We start from the raw sequence: 21,590 nt of genomic DNA on the forward strand, positions 1-21,590 counted from the left end.
GTGAAAAAATTGTTCACAAATTATGAAACAGGAATTTATCCCTCTCTTTGGCTTATGATATGTAATATTACAAACATATACCTCTTCATACATGCACACACACACACAAAGCAGGTTAAACTATCAATTCCAAAAAAGTAAAGGTAACACTTTTCAGGAAAGGATTTGAGAGCATGTTTAAGACAGTCATAAATCCTTTGGTTCTATTCTCGTACCTGGGAGAAAGCATGGGTTAAATTAAATGGCCTGGTATGTGTTTTTGAAAGCACACTATTTATTTTATTAAGAATTTAAATACTTTTTATTTGTTGAATTCTCCTACTTTATTACTTTCAATGGGTTGATTTTTCCAGGGAAAAAATAGCAGCACATTTGGAAGATATACACAGAAGTAAAACATTATGCACAACTATTCGAAAGATTCATATGAACTGGATGTAATATAAATTGTGTAGCTTTTAATATACTGAAGGTAAAGACAAACCATCTGTTTATGTGGTAGAATGTTGTCGTTTTAAAGAATGCTATTCCTCACCATCCTGTATCTTCATTGTGGCTTTTACATTATAAAAAGCAGTTAATCTCATCTTTCCTTCTACCCTCTGAATAAGGGAATATACCATCTTAGCCTATTGCTTATTTCAGCTGCTAACCTACGTTTATTTTTAAAATCTCCATCCCTTTGTACTCTTTCAATTTTTAAGATATCCCATTGCCACCTGCACATTAATGTTTCTATTTATATATTTCAAATAAATCTAAGTGGATACAGAGCAGATGAAAAATGGAAAACACATATTGAGGAGCTTTATATCTGTACTCGGCAAGCAAGCTTTCACATTTTTGAGAACCATTAGTTTTATTTTTAAAAAGTAGCATCTTGACATTGTACTAAGTTGATTTTAAAAGGCATAGAGTGAGCTGAGATTGCGCCACTGCACTCCAGCCTGGGTGACAGAGCGAGACTCCGTCTCAAAAAAACAAGAACAAAAACAAACAAAAGGTATAGAAATATTTTACAATTCTCAGTGCTACAATGCATGAAGAAAGTGCAAGATACAATAGAGTTTGTTTTTGCAATTCTTATTTATTTACTCTTTTGCTCTTTCGTATATTCTTGCTTTTTGAGCCAGTTCTAGTTGCCCCTAATTCTCTTAGAGACCCTGCAAAAAAAAAAAAAAAAAAAAAAATACCATTCTCCACCTGGCTGGTTGATAGTGCTACCCACACATTTCATTGCTCTAAGGTCTTAGAAAGAGATTTTGGTTGAAATTTGAAAATAGAAGAGAAAGCTCAGTTCTTTCCTTTAAAAACTGAAGGAGAAAAATAAGTTCACTGAGCAAGTTATGCCACAAATCTCAGACTCAGTCCCTAATCAATTGAAGGGATATAATCAATAATTTCTTTTTTCTTTTAAGGCAGAGCTGTGGTAATGCTTAACCTAAGAGAAGAATTTGGTAGCATTGTCCTGCCTCTCCTACTTGGGTAGGCTGCTCTGAGGGTGGATCATTCTGCCACTTTGGAAGCGTGTCTTTTTCCTAAATAGTAGACACTTGCTTTACCTACCTATCTTTTTTTTTTTTTTTTTTTTGAGACAGAGTTTTGCTCTTGTTGCCCAGGCTGGAGTGCAATGGTACAATCTTGGCTCTCTGTAACCTCCGCCTTTCGGGTTCAAGCGATTCTCCTACCCCAGCCTCCCGAATAGCTGGAATTACAACATGCCCGGCTAAGTTTTTGTATTTTTGGTAGCGATGGGGTTTCTCTATGTTGGTCAGGCTGGTCTCGAACTCCCAACCTCAGGTGATCCACCCTCCTTGGCCTTCCGAAGTGCTGGGATTACAGGCGTGAGCCACCGCGCCCAGCCTTACCTACCTATTCTTATCTGACTTGCCAGATTAATAAAAAATTTACATTTACTCTGTATTGCAGAGATGGATAGTTGACTACTCTGTAGTTCAAGGGCAACATTCTGCAGTCGCAGGTAGAATTATACACTCACAAAGAGTCAGCTGTATTTTTTAAACCTGTGATGTCAATTGTGGTTGTCATTATGATTATGTCATTTAATTAAATAATGCTTAAACTGATGAGCACTGTTAACAGAAACCGTTTTCTATGAAAATTTACTGCTTTGAAAAACTTTCAGTGAGGACTTAATAAAACAATACTGTGAAATTCGTTCAGGAAAAATAACTAAAAGACTTAGGATATTACAAAAGCCTGAAAAATTCTATAATTAGATTCTTCCTTAATTATCTCTAAATTTTTGTTCTCCTTTTAAAGGAGTTTTCAAAGTGGAAATCAAACTATGCATTATGAATATAGTTTTGGCAGCAAATATGCTGGACTTATAAATACTAAATTAACACTCCAAGAAAACAACTTGGCCCTATATAACAAGATTGTTGGATAAATATATAGATAAATATATTTATGTGTTCTAAATTAAAGTTGTGTTTAATATATATTTAAATTTTTGGATGTTCTGTTTTAATCATTATTTTCAGTTAAGTGTTCAACCACCAATCACAATAGATAAGTTAATTGAAAATGGTGGTTACAGTGGAAACTACTAGAAGGGGAACAGTGGGAGAAAGCAAAGAACTGAAAACTATTAGGTGCTCTGCTCACTACCTGGGCAATAGGATCAATCATACCTGAAACCTTAGCATCATACAATATATCCATGTGACAAGCCTGCACATGTACCCCTAAACATAATATAAAAGATGGAATTATTTAAAAATAAAAAATAAAATGGTAGGTAAAATAGACAATTAAACACACACACAAATTTATAAACATACCTCCAGAGGGTCCTATATTATGTATTTTTACACTGTTATGGTAATCTTAACAGGACTAAAAATAATTTTAGGATGAATTAAACCCTAAATGTTGAATTTAATTCTGGAAAATGTTTATCCAAGTAAAAGACACAGCAATAGCAAAATATAACTTTCAGGATTATTTTCCAAGTTATCACTGCCACAAAGGGCTCTGGTAATTTATTCAGCAAATAGTTTATGCCAGACACTGGAGCTACAGAAAATATTCAAATTACACACAGTTTCTACTCTCACAGTTCAAAGTTACAAGCAGAAATCAGAATACCCAAGGCCTAGATTTGAGAAATAGCTAAGATTTTTTTTTAAATCACCTACTTATAAGAAGAGATCAGAATTTTCCCTCCAATAGGGAGCTACAAACATTTTAAACAAGAATCTATTGATATACATTTATTGATCTTTATACTGAAATAAAACATCAAAATTAATTGTCATGTAAGGAAAGATTTTTTTTTATATCTTCTTCAAGGAAAAATTTAGTAAACTGCTTTCTTCATTTTTTTTGGTGCTAGTACATCATTATTTCAAAAGCAGAACTAATTTAAAAGAAAAATTATGTATCTGTAATACTTGCATGTATGTGTTTGTACATATACACATACACAATCTAAAAACCAATCACTTAGACATTTATGGAAGATTGACAAATTATCAGGCTCCAGTAAATCATACATTCCAGCATACATGCTTTTTGACTTGGGCAAGAAATTTGCTTTGGACAGTTTGAGGCAAGCAAAGGTTTTCAGGGCTTGTACACTAGGGCTTGACTCTTGAAACCCTGAGTTTCTTTCTGGGAATTCTGAAGAAGCCCAGTCCAGCCTCCTTAAGCCAGGAGAACCATGCTGACAACTCACACAATCAGGTGAGAAATAATACAGAATGGTTGTTTTAAGTTGCTGACTTTTGGAGTGACTCGTTACACAGCAATACCCGAAAGAATATTCCAGTCTCTTAAATTCTAAACAGAATGGAATTCAGTAGTTCAAGCTAAAAAAGTTAGTCATTAATATATTATTCCTTTAGTGGTATTATTGGGCAAAAATCATATACTAACATCTTTTAAAAGCAAACATTTTATTTAGTTATTCAAAAGCATATTGGCTGAACAACTAGTAAACTTTCCTATTTAGTGAAAAATGAAAAAAAGTTTGAATTCCAAGATGTAACTTTTAAATATATGTATTTGAGGACAATTAAGAAAACATGAAAACATCTTAGGATAAAATTTCAAATTACTTGCTTTGGGCTAGCATTAACAATGTAAAAAAAAGCATTTGTGAATAAAATATACAATAATAGACATTTTTTAAAAAGTCATAATTATATTTAATAAGTAGCTCTATATAAACACAGAAGAAGAGTTCTATTAAGAAAATATGTGAAATCCCAAGATGACCAATGAGAGCTTGATGTAAAAATCTTCGCAAATTATGATCTGGAGGTCATGGAGGAGGATGCTGAAGGTATTTCAAAAAGAAAATCACTTCCCATGCTTCCTGCTTACTTCATCATCTAATATGCATCACAACCACCCCTTAGCAGGGTTACTGGCCTGGCCATATGTATGTCAACATGTTAAGGGGTAAGTGTAGGAAAGGATAGGGATGTAGCAAGATGAAATTATTCTGGTCTCTGCAGTCTATGTGAAAGACAGGTTTTTTTACTTACTTTTTCTATAGGGCATTTTCCAGGTCCCCAAAAAGAGTCTTAGTAGGAAAATAGAACAAAAGAGGTAGGAAGCACCAAATGTTTACCAAGACAGGCAATGCGCTAAACACATTACATATAATATGTTGTTCAATCCTCCAGTCAGGTGGGAATTACCATCCAGCCTCTTTAATGGATGAGCAAACTGAAGCTCAGTTATATCTGCAGATTTGCTCATAGTCACTCAAGCAGTGAGTGAAAGAGGTGGATTTAAATCCTTGTTTCTAGGACTCCAACGTCTATGCTTTTGCGATGTGCCTAAGTTTTACTTCCTAATGGTTTTCTTTCTTTCTTTTTTTTCTCATTGATATTTTAGGTGGATAAGTGGAGAGGGGGTTCAGGGGAAGGAGAGAGAGTCGAAAAGACCCTGTAAAACAAACTACTCGCAACCATTTTGCCTTTTTCAATTTTTGGTTCTCTAATAACACATTTGGGCAAATAAACAGATTTTCTCAAGCCTAGTATTTTACACTGTTTGTAGATTATAATAATTCTCATCAACTTAAAAGTACAAATGACAAATTATTTACTCTCAGAGGAAAATTGGATTAGGTTCACAAACCAGGGTGGCTCCAAGTTCCTTTCACTGTTACAATAAAGCAGTTCAGAAAAAGATAAACAGAATTATTCCTTTTGGAATAATATAAAACTTTCATTAAAAATCTGTTTCTAGCTCGTCAGTATGGAATTTGTCACTAATCATTTTAAACTATGCCCTTTTATGCTTCTTCTGTCTCTTTTAGCTTTCTGAGTAGTTCTTTGATGTAACAAAGACAGTTTCAGACAAGATTTCAGTTCATCTGGAAAAAAAAAGGTTTAAGTCTGGAGGCAAAATGCAGTGTATTTAAAATTTATATACTCTATAATGCCTTTGTTCTGAACTTGAAGATCCTGCAAAACTTCTAAGCTTCTTTGCCTTCCTCCTCTAAGCTCATTTGTTCTTCTTTTGCTTATTATCATGCAACTGTGACTTTAACTGGTGCTTCCATCATTTAACTACATGCAGAGTCATGGCTGACCCTTTCTGATCAATTGCCAATCCATACAGGTTTGACTGATAAAAGAGCCAATTAGATTTAAGCAAATTAAGGGACATCACCAATGTCAACCACTTATTAAACTGAATGCTGAATTCCATGCATACAAAACACTAATGCACTGAGCCCCATTAAGCGTTGAAATCCTAACCCCATTAGTAACTCCAGACCTTGAAGGGGTAAAGGCCATAGGAAAGTTTCATATTTATGGATTAACATTTGGATTCGTTTTTATTTTTTTAATTCTTTTCCTAGAACTCTTGAACCTGTACCATAATACTATTCAAGAGCTCTGATTAAATATATCCTTTATTTCCAAGAATACCTTAGTGCTAAATATGAGCATTATGTTATTACAAACAACCTAAAAATATAGTAATTGTAGAAATACAAAAAACTTGAGTGTGCAGAAGTAGGGAAGGATCTGCTACATAATTGGAAAAAACAGAGACGCCCCTCCAGTTGTCCAAATAATATTTAAAGTGAATTTTTCAAATAAAAAATGTGTGTTAATTGGGATTTGCCACTGTTCATCTATGTGCCAAGTTATTAGTAGCACCATCTTCTTACTTTAATTTCTATCTTCAAATAACTTGTGTTTATCATATTCTTAATTATATATTTTTTCTCATCAGAAAAATAGAGGTAGGACTGGCAAATAAGATGTGTCCTGACTACAAATTAAGAGATGATGTATCCTGGTAAAATTCTTTGGAGTATGACCCTTTCACCTCTCCTTTCCAAATTACTATCTAAACTAAGGATTGTTTATTCTATGCTCACCTGAGAAAAGTAACCACTATAGGGAAGAATAAAAGAATGAAGAGTTGGCATAACTTGAGAATATTTCTCACCTCCAATACACTCACCCTCCTTACAGTTTGAGCTCCCAATTTTATCTACATAACCAGAGCATTCCTACATTGGACAGTGGTGTACAGAGAAGGTCTCTTTCACAGCTGGCTAAAATACAAGGTTGCTGAGGTTGAGATGAGGCCTGGAGGGCCTGAGTAATAATAAGCTTAAAATTTAAAACAAGTCGTTAAGCAATCTTGACTAATTTATTCATTCACCAATTATTCATTATGCACCTACCATGTGTCAGGTTTAGTCTAGGTGCTGAAGATAGAAATGTGAGTAAGAAACAGTTCCTACTCTATAGGATCTTATAACCAGTGATTGTGACAGATTAAACAGGCAATTTCAGTATAATGTAACTGTTCTCTGGGATACAGAAAGGCCCTATCTCAGCCTCTGTTGGCAAAACATGACTTTCTGATAGACCAATTTCTAGGTTTGAGGCTAAAAAATGAGTAGGATTTGGCCAGATTAAACGGGTAAAGGGGATTTTCCAGGTCATATTTGATAGCAAATATTTGATGAAGTAAAAAAGAGCATTTTATTTTGCCCAACTCTTTTCTTATTATGTTTTAAAAGTATGCAAAAGAAGCATAGCTAAGGATATTATCATCACAAATCTTGCATCACCCAGCATTGAAAGATACTAGGAATTCAACATCACCATAAGAGAGATCTAATATTGAAATCAAGGAAATGGCAATAATGATAACAATCCAACTATAATGGAAAAGTAAATAGCATATAGAACCTTCTCTGCCCATAAGTTGGTTTGCCTCCGTATATTGGTCCATTTATTATTCATTTCAGAATGAAACACAGTTCACTGGACAAAGGCATGGAAGATTTCTTTAATAACTCTCAGTACTAATTTAATTCTACTTAAACACACATATTCTAGTGAATGCCACATGCTTTTCAGCATGATTTTTATGTGTAAATCAGGATAATATGTTTTCAGATCATTAAGTAAAAGGAAGCATGAACTAAAACCTATTTAATCAATGAGGTATCACCTTTAAACTGCCACAAGGTCATAAAAAAGATAATTTTAAAGCTATACGTTTCCTAATTGTAATCAACAACAATCTAATGAAAAAAGAAAGTATGTCCTAATGGCCATAATAAACTTTAGCGAATCACTGTCTGTCTTTGAAGACATTTGCTTCCTCTTTGGTGAAGGACTGACTCCCAAATTCTAGATTTCTGAATACATAAAGTGGAGGATTGCATCAGGCCCAGAGAGTGTGGGCCTGCAGTGCATTATGGTAATGACACAGATAAGCATCCACAGAGCAAAGATGAAGATAAGCCTCAGTTAATGGTTTACTCAGTTTGACTGCACCACTATAAAACAATATTTTAGTTTCTTTCTATTTGTATAATATTAACCCTTTTACTGACAGGTATATTCACATAGCGCATATTCCGTTAGCAGTAGGACCTTGCTATTTTTAATTGAATCTTGATATATGTATAAATAACAAATTATTAGACCATACATTCCTAAAAACATAAACAATGAATTAAATTTGCCCTATTTTATGAATATGATATAAATTACTGTAAATCACAAACTATTTAATCAGTATAAATACCCTAAAATAAACACGCTTATTAAATATTGTATATATCCTGTAGAAAAGGTATTACTATATAACTTAAAACCTCCATTATGGCACTGATTACTCTTTAATTTCTAAATTTGAGTAAAGGATATTATATTCTAAGGTTTAGAGCCATCACAGTTTTCTATCCTTCCTAGCATGTGTATTGAAGTGAAAAATGAAGATATGAATACCTAAGGTTTATTTTAGCGGGGGGAGTTTGTTTTATTTTGGGTTTCAGTCTCAATTTTTAAATAAATATATCTAAATTCAATTCCCTTTTAAAATTATTGTCTCAATAAATATGATACTAACCTGAGTTGATCAGCCTCAAAAGTTTCTTTTATGCATTCTTTTCTTAAGTAATGTAGCTTCTGACATTTACAGTTTCAAGTATTTTAGTAAACATCAATTCATTAATTTTAATAATGGCATAAAAGGTAGATAATAGTGTGTGGTTTTATGATACAACAAGTAATGAATCTTTTTTGCAGGGGAGCGGTTCCATACAAACTGAAGATTCCCTTTTATTTTTCTCCAGTGATAAAGCACTTTGTGTTCTTATACTCTTCATAACTGGAAGTGGGGTTAACCTGCCCTTCGGATTGCTGATAAAAGATTGTGACATTCTCCCTTAGTTCAGAATATACTCATTCCTGGGAGATGGGCTACAGGGCAGATGCTGGATGTCCTGGGGTCCTTTGCCTTCAGGATTTTCAGAAAACACACATTCTTTAGCACTCAATTGAGAGTCATGCTCTTAACATTTTGAGGCATGCTTTCTGTTCAAGGGCCATCCATGTCAACCCTAGAGGGGTTTTCCTCAATGCGATTATTTCCCGCAACGAGTTAAAACATGGTGAAGCTGAAGGCACATCAAAATAATGGTAATTGTGAATAGGTCGATTTTTATAGAAATATTTAAAATAAAAATATGCAGACTGTATCACATTTCACACATGAATGTGGCCCTGCTGAACTGTAATTATTAGGATCAGGAATTTAAAGGTGTTTTCCAGTAGTGCAAATGGAATTTTCCTATTCTATCATCTGCACCCTGCCCTTTTTGCCAAATGAAGTACTTTAAGTATACAATTGAACTAGTTATTTAGAACACCAGGAATGAGAACCATTTGCAGTAGAAAATGGAAGCTCAAATTGCAAATATAAATTTTGGCTTTAAGTAACGCCTTGAACAAAATCATTTCCCAATTTTCTTAACATGCAGAAATCCAGATATATATATGTGTGTGTGTGTATGTGTGTATGGTATATACACACACATACACACAGTGTGAGGTGGATGAAAGCAGTCTCAACAAAACAATAAAAGATCGTCAATTAAAGAATCTGAATAAACAAAGCAAAACAACAACTATTAAAAGAACCAGAAATACAATTGAGCCTCTAAGTTCTAAAATAAAATACCTCTAAAAATAAACAAGGTATTCAATGGAAACTTAATTCTAGGGCATTTATATAAAATTAGATAGCCAACATTTGCATAGACTTACCTCCTGGAGGCATTGCAATTGTTATAGGATCAGTTATCAAGCTGCCTTGGCTATTTGAAATATTCACTTGTACAGTATAGTTGGTAAAAGGAACCAGCCCATCGATGAGCACCCAAAGGTTTGTCTCTTCTCCGCTGTACATGACTTTTGTGACATTCAGAAGGGTGTAGTTATTACCTACTGATTAAAAAAGAAAATTATTAAAATAAATACATATTTAAGAATTCATTCCTGCTATTATTTGAGTATTTTCTTGAGTTTCTAAATATACTGTACCAAATAGGTCTGTAACTTTACCACTCTAAGAGGCATTACATGTGCTTCTATCAATGCACATATTTGGATTTTATTATCTTGTGAACAAAAGTGCTATCTGAGTTGACCTGGCCAATTCATTCATCACGGCAATCGAAATAATTTGATGAATATTCTTAGATAACTGTAGGATAAAGCCATATCACAAGTATCAAGCATATAAGTAAAAGTATTGCACAAATGTAGAAATTGATTACTTGATGAGTTGTTTATACTTTTTTGAGGGTTTTTTTTCCAATAAAAATCCCTGAATTTTTTTGGATGTGCAGACAGGAAGAAATAACACATTATTCCTCAAATAGAATTGTTCTGGATATACGTATTATACTCAGACATATTTGTCAGATATTGTATATTTCACAAACTGAGGTGTTTTCTGTTCACTTTGCTTGAAATGTGGGTGGATTTCTTTCTATCTAATGCCCTTTTAAATTTCAATTAGTCAGAATATCTTGAAAAGCAACTGGGGATGGGAGGTACTATATGTCCACTTTGATCAGAAGATCTAATATTTTTAGCTTTATGAGAAAATGCAGAAGCTGCCTAGCTATATAAAAGAATCACTTTTAATACATCCTCACCCTGGTCCCAACACCACTGTCCTTCCAAAGCTTTAGCAAACCCATTCTTAAATCTCATCAGTCCAAAATGCAGGAAAATACTTCTGCCTAGTAACAGTGTTTTATCTCTCTCTCTTACACCATTAGGTTAAATTTCAGGTTAAGAGTAAAAAATTAGGGTTAAAATAAGAAAAGGGCTACAGATGAAAATTGTAACATTTTCTATATTAGATGCTTTCCTGAAAAATTTATGAGACAATTTTTTAAATGCTGCTTAATGTTTGTCACTTTTAGAAATGATACAATAACTCTTAAAAAACAGAAAAATGAATGATTAAGAGTACCACCCAGGCTAGGCAACATAGCAAGTCCTCATCTCTAAAAACAAAAAATTAAAATTAAAAATTATCTGGTCATGGTGGTATGAGCCTGTAGTTCTAGCTACTCAGGAGGCTGAGGTGGGAGAATCACTTGAACCCACAAATTTGAGATTACAGTGAACTATAATTGTGTCACTGCACTCCAGCTTGGGTCACAGAGTGAGATTTTTTTATCTAAAAGAGCACCAATATTTACTTCAAATAACCTTTTTCCTATATAAAACCACTTTTTATTATATGTACATTCAATCTTTCACACACAAATTCTGCAGATATAGACAAATGAATTAAAAAACACATGATATTGAGCTTCAAAGAGAAGAACAAGCATACTGGCAAGATCTCCAGATACTGATATAATCTTTATTGAACAAATGCTTAAAAAGTAAAAGATGGCATCATACTAAAAGTGATCTTGCATCGTATAGTATACAAAATGCAAGGTTTACAATATTTACAAAAACATTATATTTTAACACAGTTTAGTAGCAAAGTATAGTGCAAAGGAAAGAACATAAATTTGGTTGTCAAAAGTCCTGCATTTGAACTTGTTCTTGTATTCTTTAGCAATGTGCTCTTTGCTAATTTACTTAATATTTCTGAATGTCTGGTTCTTCATCTGTGAACTGGGAATGATAATACAGTATTTACATTGCAGTGCTATTGTGAAAATTAAGTGAGATTATTTCTTTATCATATCCAGCACATAATAGTTGCTCATAAACAACAGCTAGGAATGATGTTATTGTTTTTGTTGTAATCCATACAACTGATACATTCTAGCCATTCAGAACTAGCAAGTGATTAAGAATTTTGTACTCTGTATTTCATTTTCTCAGTAGCAATTACCTACCTATTCTCTACCCCTTCCAACCTAACAATGTATTATTCATCAAAATTCTAAGGTTTTTCAATGAATAAAGCAGCACTAATCTCATCCATTACCAATGTGTCATTGTCCCATCAGATTATATTTCAAACTGAAATTAATGAAGATCAAATAATGCAAAAGAGGGTCTGATATCTGGTTATTACTTGACTATTTTCATGAAATATGGGTAGGTCCAACAAATTGTAAAAACATACAAAAAGTTATTTAAAAAGATACTTATAACCATTTAGGGATGGAGGAAGTCACTGAAAAATCTACTGTTACAAAATACTCAGGAGTTTTTTTCATGAGCAGAAGAAAGCCCTAATGGCATAATATAATTTATTACTCTGGACCCAAAATTGGCACATCCAAATAAGTAGTTTACTTCAAAGGAAATAAACAGTGCTTGTGGGCTAAAACGTGACAATGATAATTTCTATTCACTTTCAGTAAAGGCAGATAAAGACATATTCATAGCTTAAAGAATGATTTCAAGGTCCTAAAATGTAAGTAGATAATGCACTCCTCTATATGTGTAATACTTATTAGCAAGACATTATGAAACCTACAAAGCAGCCTTTGATAATTTCATTATGCACTAAAAAGACATTTCCAATTTATGCCATTTTAGCTTTCCTAGGTTCTTTACAACTAGTCAGCTTGCTTCTACTGAAGATTATTGAGCTCCAACTGCATGCAAGGAGAAGGCTTTTCTAGGCACTGACGAGAACATGCCCCAAGTACATAAGACATAATTCTTGCACTCAAGAAACCTGGTTAAGATTAAATATGACCATCCTAACCATTGCCTAAGAACAATTACATGGTCAGCATGGGGAGATCTCCTCCTGTCCCCATGATATTGAGCTCCTTGGAAGTATTTCTGCTGTCATTACATGCTCAATTGTAAACTTTCAAAAAGGTCAGCTTGTCCTATAGACTCAAGCAGATATTCAATTGACTCTCAAGTAGCGTAACTGTGCAGGTCTTATAAAAGATTGAAATTTGTAAAGCAACAATGGAAATTCTAAAATTAAGCCATGAGAATATAATTTTACAAATTTTCAGCCAGGGACAAATACAAAATCAATGAGTAAATATGTATGAGTATAATATTGGTGAAGTTTTTTCCATTGCATTTTGCTTGTTTGTTTGTTTTTTAAGGAAATTTTGAACTGTAAAACAAACAAAAAACAAACACTACTGCTTGCTTTGAAAATGGCATGGCAGGGGGAGATATATAAGTAGCACTTCATTCTAAGCTTCCTAGATAACAACATTAATACATGGTAATTATATAATTAGTTGTAACATTAAGTTCTAGTTATAGAACAATGATTACTCAGTAATTATAAGAAGTATATAATTACTCAATAATTATGAGAAGTATGCAATTACATAACCATTTTGCTCAGCTCAAAAAAGAACTTGTACATCTCCAGTAACTATACAGCTGAGTGAGTCTAATGTTCTCTCACCCCTACAAACATACAGTTCAATTCACAGACCTAGAGTAACTGACAGGATTTCAGCCCTCAATGAAGCTCAAAAATTTCCAGATTCAAAACCAAAGCAGGATCCACAGATTTTAGCTCTTCCTCCATTTCACTCTCACTGTCTTTCCTTTCTTCCTTTGAACTTTAGGAATTTGGGCTCCTCAATATGGGCGGGGAGGGGTAGATTTTTAAAATGCTTGTGCTCAGGTTCCTCTTGTTGAGATGGTTGTGCTTTGCCACTTTTCACTGCATAAACTGGGCTTTCAGTGGGCTGGAAAATGCAGCCTCGTTGGTTCAGCCTCAAAAATCAAGCTTGAAAATGTGAAAGTGATAAGTGTGTCCTATCGCAGGCGACCATTCCTGTCTGGTTGGCCCTCCAATCTGACCCTATTTGTGAGTATAAGTGGATGGTGCAAGACCTTTTAAGCTTCTGAGTTCTGGAACCGCAACTCCCCACTGCCTGCTTCGCCCCCACCCAAGCACTGTGATTTGAAGTTGAGTTGCCCTCCTCCACCCTCTGTGGCTTGGTCTGAGCCATTGGGCTTTAACTGGGGGTCTCACTTAGCTCTTTGCAAAATGAGGTTGCCAATACCAATATTCCAGGCACAACCTACATCAAAATCACTTGGGGTTACCTCATAAACATTCATATATCTGAATTCTACGCCAGGCCTACTGGATGAGCATCAGAGCATAGGGTGCTGGGATCACTAGCTTTGACTAGCTTTGGACTATAACATGTTTACTCTATTAGTGAAATAAGTGTAAAGCTAAGGTTTAAAACAGATGTCTCCTTATAGGCTACAAAATCCAATGAAGTTGTTCTACAAGAAAATTTAAAATATGCATAAAAACAATTTGAAAAATAAGTAATTATTGCACACTTAAGAACAATAACATCAGGGTTTCTGATTTAAGTATTATACCTCTTTCTCTCTGTCACTATCTTTCCACTGAAGATGCAGAGGAAGAAAAGATTTTTTGTGTATTGGCCAACATCACACATCATAAAGATAAAATAAGTTTTGCATAGATCATGTAGAATTTCTACATAAACTCCTAACTGCTCTTTCGGTCTATCCCACATTCTAAAGGGTCTTGAAAAAGGTTAATTCATTCAGTCCTACTCTCCTATTTTATTTCAAAGAAAAGTGTTACATGAAAAAATAGACCAAATAAATCTCATATGAACAACAGGTTTTACTTATAAAAAAACCTTTTCTTTAGTCTCAAATATAAAGTCTTAACTGAAATGTTAACAATATTAATGCCCCTTTTCTGAGATGAAAATCTTATTTTCAATGCTCTTTTTTGTTGAATAGTAGAAAATCTATGCAATTATTTTTAAGGAAAAAACAGCATAAATGGATATTTTCACATGTATGACTCAGGGATGCGTAAATGATTGCTGTCTCGAGAATACCATCCTATGGGGTTCTCTAGATTGGAATAACATAAATGGGTATCCTTTCCTATTCTTGTTACAATCATTGTCACAAGAATTTTAATGCACCATATATTCCATAATTTTTTTTTCTCTGTGCTGGACTGCTCTGACCTTTTCAATATTCTATAATTTGACTGGCTGGCCATTTCAGTTCTCTCCTTTTTACAGCCTTATTAACTTGTGGGAAAGAGGTGACATGAACAACCAATCAGAATACATAATATTGCAAAGGTCAGCGTAGTCCTGTACAGTATCATAACACACACAATACTGTATGCCAGGCATTAACATCCTGATATCTTATTCATGTGACAAAGATTGTAACAGGAACAGAAAATGGCACAACATGAATCCATTCTCATGACAAAGATTATAATGAGAAATGACAGTGAACAAACCAAACTGATTCTTGTTACCTCGTGAGGATTTTATATGTCAGGCCTGGTCCTGCTTTAAGTTAGTCTTTTTCTGAATCCAATTACACCTTAAGGTAGAAAAGGTATTAACTAATTTTTCCCACTTCTTGCTGTACAAAGAAATACTATATTTTTCTGGTATTAAGGTCTCAATTTTAGAGTTGTTCAGTTCCATCTCACTATCACGAAATTCTGCCAATACCAAAATCAGAAGACACTGAATTGTGATCAAGGTAAACTGGCAAAATCAGCCTTTACTGTGAGCCAAGAATTTCAGGTCTCTCTATATACCCTGTATTAATATTTAAGTTACATTTATTTATTCCTTCTAAAAATATTATTTTAAATTATTTTAACCAAAAAGCAAGTGTTTCTTCCAGATTCCATTTTTCTGATAGATCTCATGTTGGTAGGAATCTGAAAGGTGCTGAGTATTTGTTTATTTTGTAATTAATATATGGTGAAAGAAATCTATTCCTGGCCTTAAGTTTTTGACAATGTATAAAATATTTATGGACATATGCCTACGAAGCTGTCTTCTCCACAGGATATTTTGAAAGAGAAATAAATAGCCTATGAACCACTAAGACCTTCTGAGGACGGTGCTCGATTAATGCATCATATTTCTTACATTACTGTAATTACTGTAATAGTGATTTTAATTAGTTGTCATCTAGTCAAAGCTGTACTTCTTTGACTCCTCTTTAAATTGGTCATTCCTCTAGCCTGACAATTGTAGTGCAGGGAATAAATACATGCACTATTTTATCAACTCACCAAAAGATGCTTCAGACACATTTGTCCTGGTTGTGCCCATACAAGAGCAATGACAACTCTATAGATATCGAGAATCTTTATGTTTTGTTCTCTAGATCTTTTTTAACGTGTAGGCACAATTACTGTTCTAAATATCGCAAATTATTTTTTAAAGTTTGTTGAAGCATGTTTTATTTTTCCCCATCAAGCTCTCTCTATGTACCACAGTCAGATTTTCCTAAATGTATCTCATTTTATGAATATCAGAAAGGAACTATAATGCATAAAGGATAGACAAAAATCTCTGTACCTTATGCTTAATATTGCTGTAATCCTAAAACTGCTCTAAAAATAGTTATAAAAATGAAAGATATATGTATATATGCATGTATATTATACATTTTATATATAAAGTTCACTACGATATATAAAATTCAGTACAGTTCACTATATATATGTATATAAACACACAGAAAGAGAGAGAGAGTAAATTCAGAGATGTACTGTGACTATTGTAAATTGTAGAAGTATGGTCTATTTTTACTAACCATATATGCTCTGAAATGTCAGGGTTTTTTTCCACTTTGACTTATTTTTTTTGCCATTTGGGCAAACTTTTTTCCAGCTGAACAAACTGATGCTGTTATCTCAATCAGCTAAAAGTTATTGAACAAATATACTCTCATAGAAAGTGGTCTCCGGCTTCCACACTAAACACTGGACATGAATACAACTATTTTATCACCAAAACGTGTTTCCTTTTAAAGTTCTGGTAGAGCCTTACTAACCATGCTGAACCTGCTGAGCCTGTGGTGCTACTAGGATCAGACAAGTAATTTGACAACCATTATTGATCCCAGACAAAGCCTATGGTCCATTCTTTGTTTAATGACATGTTTAACATTTTCTTCTAATTACTGGAAGATATATACTTGAGATGGTTCCTCTGTAAAAGAAGAGCAACGACTTGGGGGTCTGGATGAGAATGATATCATGTTTTGCTGTTGAATTCTACCTGTTTCATTTGCTACAGTCACACAGTAAGGTGTTCCTGTGTTAGTTACCTATCGATGTGTCATGGTATCACCACGAACTTAGCAACATACATTTAGAATCTCATAGTTTCTGTGAGTCAGGAGTCTGGCACAGCTAACTGGGTCCTGTGCTCAGGGTCTCAAAAGACTGCAGTCAAGGTGTTGGCCAGGACTGAAATCCCATCTGAAGGTTCCAATGAGGAAGGATCTCTCGCAAGCTCAGGTGGTTGTTGATAGTTTTCAATTTGTTGTAGGCTGTCGAGACTGAGGGTCTCAATTTTTTCTGGCTATTGACTCAAGGCTGCTCTCAGTTACCAGTTTTGTGTTGCCTGGCGTTCACCCTCATTTCTTCCCATATGGGCCTCCCCAGTGTGACCACTTGCTGTATCAAAAAGAGGGAGTCTTCTAGCAAGACAGGTTACAATCTTATGGAGGTGGCATGCTATCACCTTTGTTCTGTTCTACTGGTGAGCAGCAAGTCACAGGTTTTGAAGACACCCAAGGGAAGGAGAGTAAACAAGGACATGAACACCAGGAGGTGGGGAAAGTCAGATGCCACCTTACAGTCTCCCTGTTAGTCTCTGAACTGTATATATGAATCACCTTGCTAGAAAGAGATTTTGGACAAATTGTGAACTTTCACAGCTTCTAAATTAAGTGGTACCACACAACTGTCTTTCCAAAATACCTGACAGAATGGAAACAAACTATGAAAACAGTAACATTAACAATTTTAGTTGAAGATTCTCCAGGTACAAATGTATAAAGGAAAAGGAAAAAAATGACCGACATGAATTTTGAAACCTAAAAGAAGAAAGAGATGGTAAATTCCTTCTTAGTATAGCGCAGCTCCTAACTTTGTTCCCAGAGGAAGGAGTATAAGCCAAAAAAAATCCTCTCCAATATGTAGAGAAATGAACTGAGTAGAGTCTGCAGAGACAGGAAGAGAAATCAGGGCTGGCCATCCTGCCAAGCACTGTGCTGAGTTGGGGGAAAAAGCTGGTGTTCCCAGGTGTGGGAGATACATGTGAATAAATGCAGCAAGTGCTGCCACAAAAGCTATATAATAGGATCTCAGAGGAGACAGAAAATCTGGATTCCCCAGAATTCTGCCCAGTGCATCTTCGCACCCTCTAGCAACACCTAGTGCTCAAAATTTAGGTCGAAAGAAGACTGACTAGCACCAGAAAGGAAAGGAAGTAGACCAAGCTCAGAACCAGTGCAAAATCTGGACAGAGCTGCCCATACAAGGCATAAGCAAGATGAAGTTGAAGAAAAAAATAATATATCGAGTATTATACATACAGCTAAAGAAAGGATTGTAACATAAAAAGACAAAATAACCATGTAGTTTGGGAAAAAATGATATATATTCCCTATAATATGATAAAATGATATTGCAGAGACAGAGAAACAATCTGGAAATTAAAAAATGCAGTAAGTATTTAATAAACAAGTTAGAAAAAGCCAGGAACAGAATAGAGCTAAAATCTAAATCAATGGTATGATGAAAAGCCTTGAGAGAATCATAATTAATGCATAAGTAAAAAGATCAAGAAACTCTAACAATCAGGGAGAAGATAATAGGTATGTAGAAAGAAATGATTAGAAACATAACTTAATTTTCTCTTTTTTTGTAAATGAAAGGACACCTGAAGTTCATGTGGTAAGACCATGGGACTGCCAGTCAGTTGCATTGCTTTCATCTGGGGACTACAAAGCTTGATCCAGTGAAACAATGGCTCACAGTCAACTAAGGATTATTCAAGATGCCTCTAAAATTGTTGAGAATCCAGAAGTAGAGTGATAATTTTCCAAGGCGACTGAATGGTGATGGTGCCAGTGGGGGTGTCCTAAGAAGGCATAAGCTGGTCTGGGCTATGTTATTTGTGGTTCTCCACAAGTCTGACTCTCCAGCTTTCCTGACAACTTTTTGAACTGTTGAATTCCTTTAATATAATTCATCTCTGCCTGAATTAACCAAATTTGTTTCTGTTGTTTGCTACCAAGAATCACCCATGAATTGAGACAGCTCTAAAATAATGTTTACTGTTTGTTAACATTGGTTATTTATGGGTAGTGGGATTTTAGTGGATGTTGTTTTTCTGTATTACATAGATTTTTAAATTAGCATTCATAATTTTTGCAAAATCAAATGAATCATGAGAAGATTGAAATATCCAAGGAAAGTATGTAAATTGCATTTTAATGTATAAACGAGTTATAATAAAACAGGGTCCCACAAACTACAATCTACAAGCCAAATTTGGCCAGCTGCCTATTTTTGTAAATAAAGGCTTATTAGAACAAAAGTAATTATCTTTCTAGGAATTTTCATGATATAACTGCAGAATTGAGTAATTATGGCAGAGACTATATTGCCTGCAAAGTCTAAAGTGTTTACTTTCTATCCCTTTATAGAAAAGATTTGCCAACCTCTGAATTAAACAATTAAAGAAGCTAACTTTTAAAAAATATACTGCCTTCCTGAATAAAGGGAGCAATTTCCAGTTTCTAGAATGATTCTCTTGAGTAAATATTTTTTTTAAAGAGTGGAACAAAGCACGTGGAAAGAATATTTTGTTGATATAGCCCTTTGTTACATCACTGCACCATACCTTCATTAATGTTTTGATTATCTTTCATTATTCAGCATTAATAAATGCAAATTACTGAAAAGGAAATGAAGCTGGACAAAAATAAGTTCTAGACAGTCCCCTAATTCCACATGCCTAGGAAGTTTGCCAGTGGAAATCCAAGTGCCTGGCTTATATGGCTTATACAGCTGCTATTCTAAAGGCTTAATAAGAGTAACTGAAGAGTAATTAATGTTGCTTAAATGAAAGAAATATGGGTTTACTATTTTAACTCCTTCTAAAATACTTTTTTACAACATTCAAAGTTATATGTCTTCCTGAAAAAAAATCAGTGGTAGGTAATTTGTCCAAAACATGAAACATCCCCTTCCAATGGATTCTAGTGAAAATTAGTAAATGGCTAAATAAGGCTAAAATGTTTGCTGAAAGTAACAAATGCAGTGTTAATATTACCTTGAAATTTATTTTAAGAATATGATTAGATAAGTGCATCAAATAATTGCCTTATTCTAAGTATCAAATAATGAATTACGGAAAGGTTTAATTGTGCCTTTTCAAAAATTTTGCTTAAGAACCTAGAACAGGTGGCTAGAGTCAGAGGCAAGAGAACAATAATATGGTACCATGAGTCCCAAAATAAGCATTCGATATGTAAAGGATCATAAGATATAAATTTGTTTGTAAAGCAAAGAGAGTTTGATATATAAATGTTGGCCTCATTGAGGAACAACTTAATCAATTTTGCTCTCTAATTTAAAGTTGAGCTGTTTTTCTCTTTTAAATCCCCCAGATGGTGGCTTTCCAGCCTGGACAATTATAGAAATGAAAAGACCTAGGCTGGATACCTTCAAAGGCATTTTATTCACCTTAACTGTTTTCTTATTGTTAACCTAGACCAGTTGATATGGTTCAGCTCTGAAACAAGCATGTGAAAATAAATAATATCTTTGTCATGAAAAATAATCATTTACCTAATAGCACCCTAAGAATGTGGTTTGTAGCCACCAGTTGTATTAACAGGTCTTTTTTTAAAAGAAAGAATAAAGTTATTTTAAAACATGACTACATCTTAAGAAAAATATTGAGAAATTTGAAGTTTGCTGATGATGTTATAGCTACATATTTTAAGTCTTTATTTTTTAATCCTTGTTCATTTGTGGGGCTTCCATTGTCAGTATACAAATGAAGATTATTATCTTCTTTCTAAACATGTTCAGAACTCATAGATGTCAATAAAAATATTCAGTTCTTTGGGGGAGATGATCAGAAAGAAACTGGCTAAAAAGCGGACCTGGGAATCTCCAATCCATAATCAAATATCGAGATTGATTGTCTCACTTGCACTTGTATTGATTTCAATTGGAGTAGCTCACCCAAGGGAATAATAAAAATGTGGAATAAAACTGATTTATGAGAACAAAATAAATCCTTTTGTGAGTGTAATGAATTGGTACTATTTAACCCTTTCAATCACAGGGTGAAAAACTATTTATTTTTTAAGAATTCTGAACTAGCCAAAAGAAGTCATATCAGAAATGCCAATACTGCCAAGTGCCATTACATGAAGTTGTAATGCTGGGGAAGAAATGCTGCTCTAAACTTGGTGGAAGGCATTATTTGACATATGACATACTTTTAGCTTTCCTGGGCCAACTTCTATGTGTCATCACAAATGATGGACCTATAGATCCAAACTATTACAGAATCACTCAGTAGATGTTTATTGTGCTTATTTACATGAGACAGTTGAGAAGCTAGAACAAAACATGGTGGTACAACATTAACTACATTTAATTTTTTTCTCAATATAGGTGTTCTTGGTTTTAACTCAAAACAGCATTTAACAGTTATATTCATGGGACACTCAACAATATTCGAGGATAACAGGGATATTCAGGAGAGACAGACTTTGGCATAATTTGGCACAAATATTTGCCTTAAGAAAATTGGAGGACCAAATAAAAAAGGAGATGATTTGTTTATAAAACCCAGCAACTGTTTGACTCTATTAGTTGAGCCAACCAGCCGAGCAGCTGATTCAATAAGAAAAATATCAGTCATGTCATTATTTCTTGAAACCCGGTAGACAAAACATTCCCAATAGTTTGGCATTGATTTAACTTTTAACTTTTCCTCTGTGTTA

At 34.1% G+C, this 21,590-nt stretch overlaps 1 protein-coding gene across 1 annotated transcript in view, besides 1 other annotated feature; it reads right to left on the reverse strand.

Moving 5' to 3' along the window:
• USH2A (usherin) overlaps positions 1-21,590 on the reverse strand; it is an 800,558-nt gene that overhangs the window by 302,153 nt on the left and 476,815 nt on the right. The window contains exon 38 of the mRNA NM_206933.4: positions 9,573-9,752. Coding sequence (NP_996816.3) covers positions 9,573-9,752 — 180 coding nt within the window. The remainder of the gene's footprint in view (positions 1-9,572; positions 9,753-21,590) is intronic.
• Positions 19,159-19,328: an enhancer, noted in NCBI's record as "experimental_4139 CRE fragment used in MPRA reporter constructs". NCBI's record gives its function as "activates a minimal promoter by MPRAs in K562 erythroleukemia cells, with activity observed for the non-introgressed 1:216117629 variant allele {active_cell/tissue: K562}" and the evidence as "EXISTENCE:reporter gene assay evidence [ECO:0000049][PMID:34662402]".

Source organism: Homo sapiens, chromosome 1 (assembly GCF_000001405.40).
Source record: "Homo sapiens chromosome 1, GRCh38.p14 Primary Assembly".
NCBI lineage: Eukaryota > Metazoa > Chordata > Mammalia > Primates > Hominidae > Homo > Homo sapiens.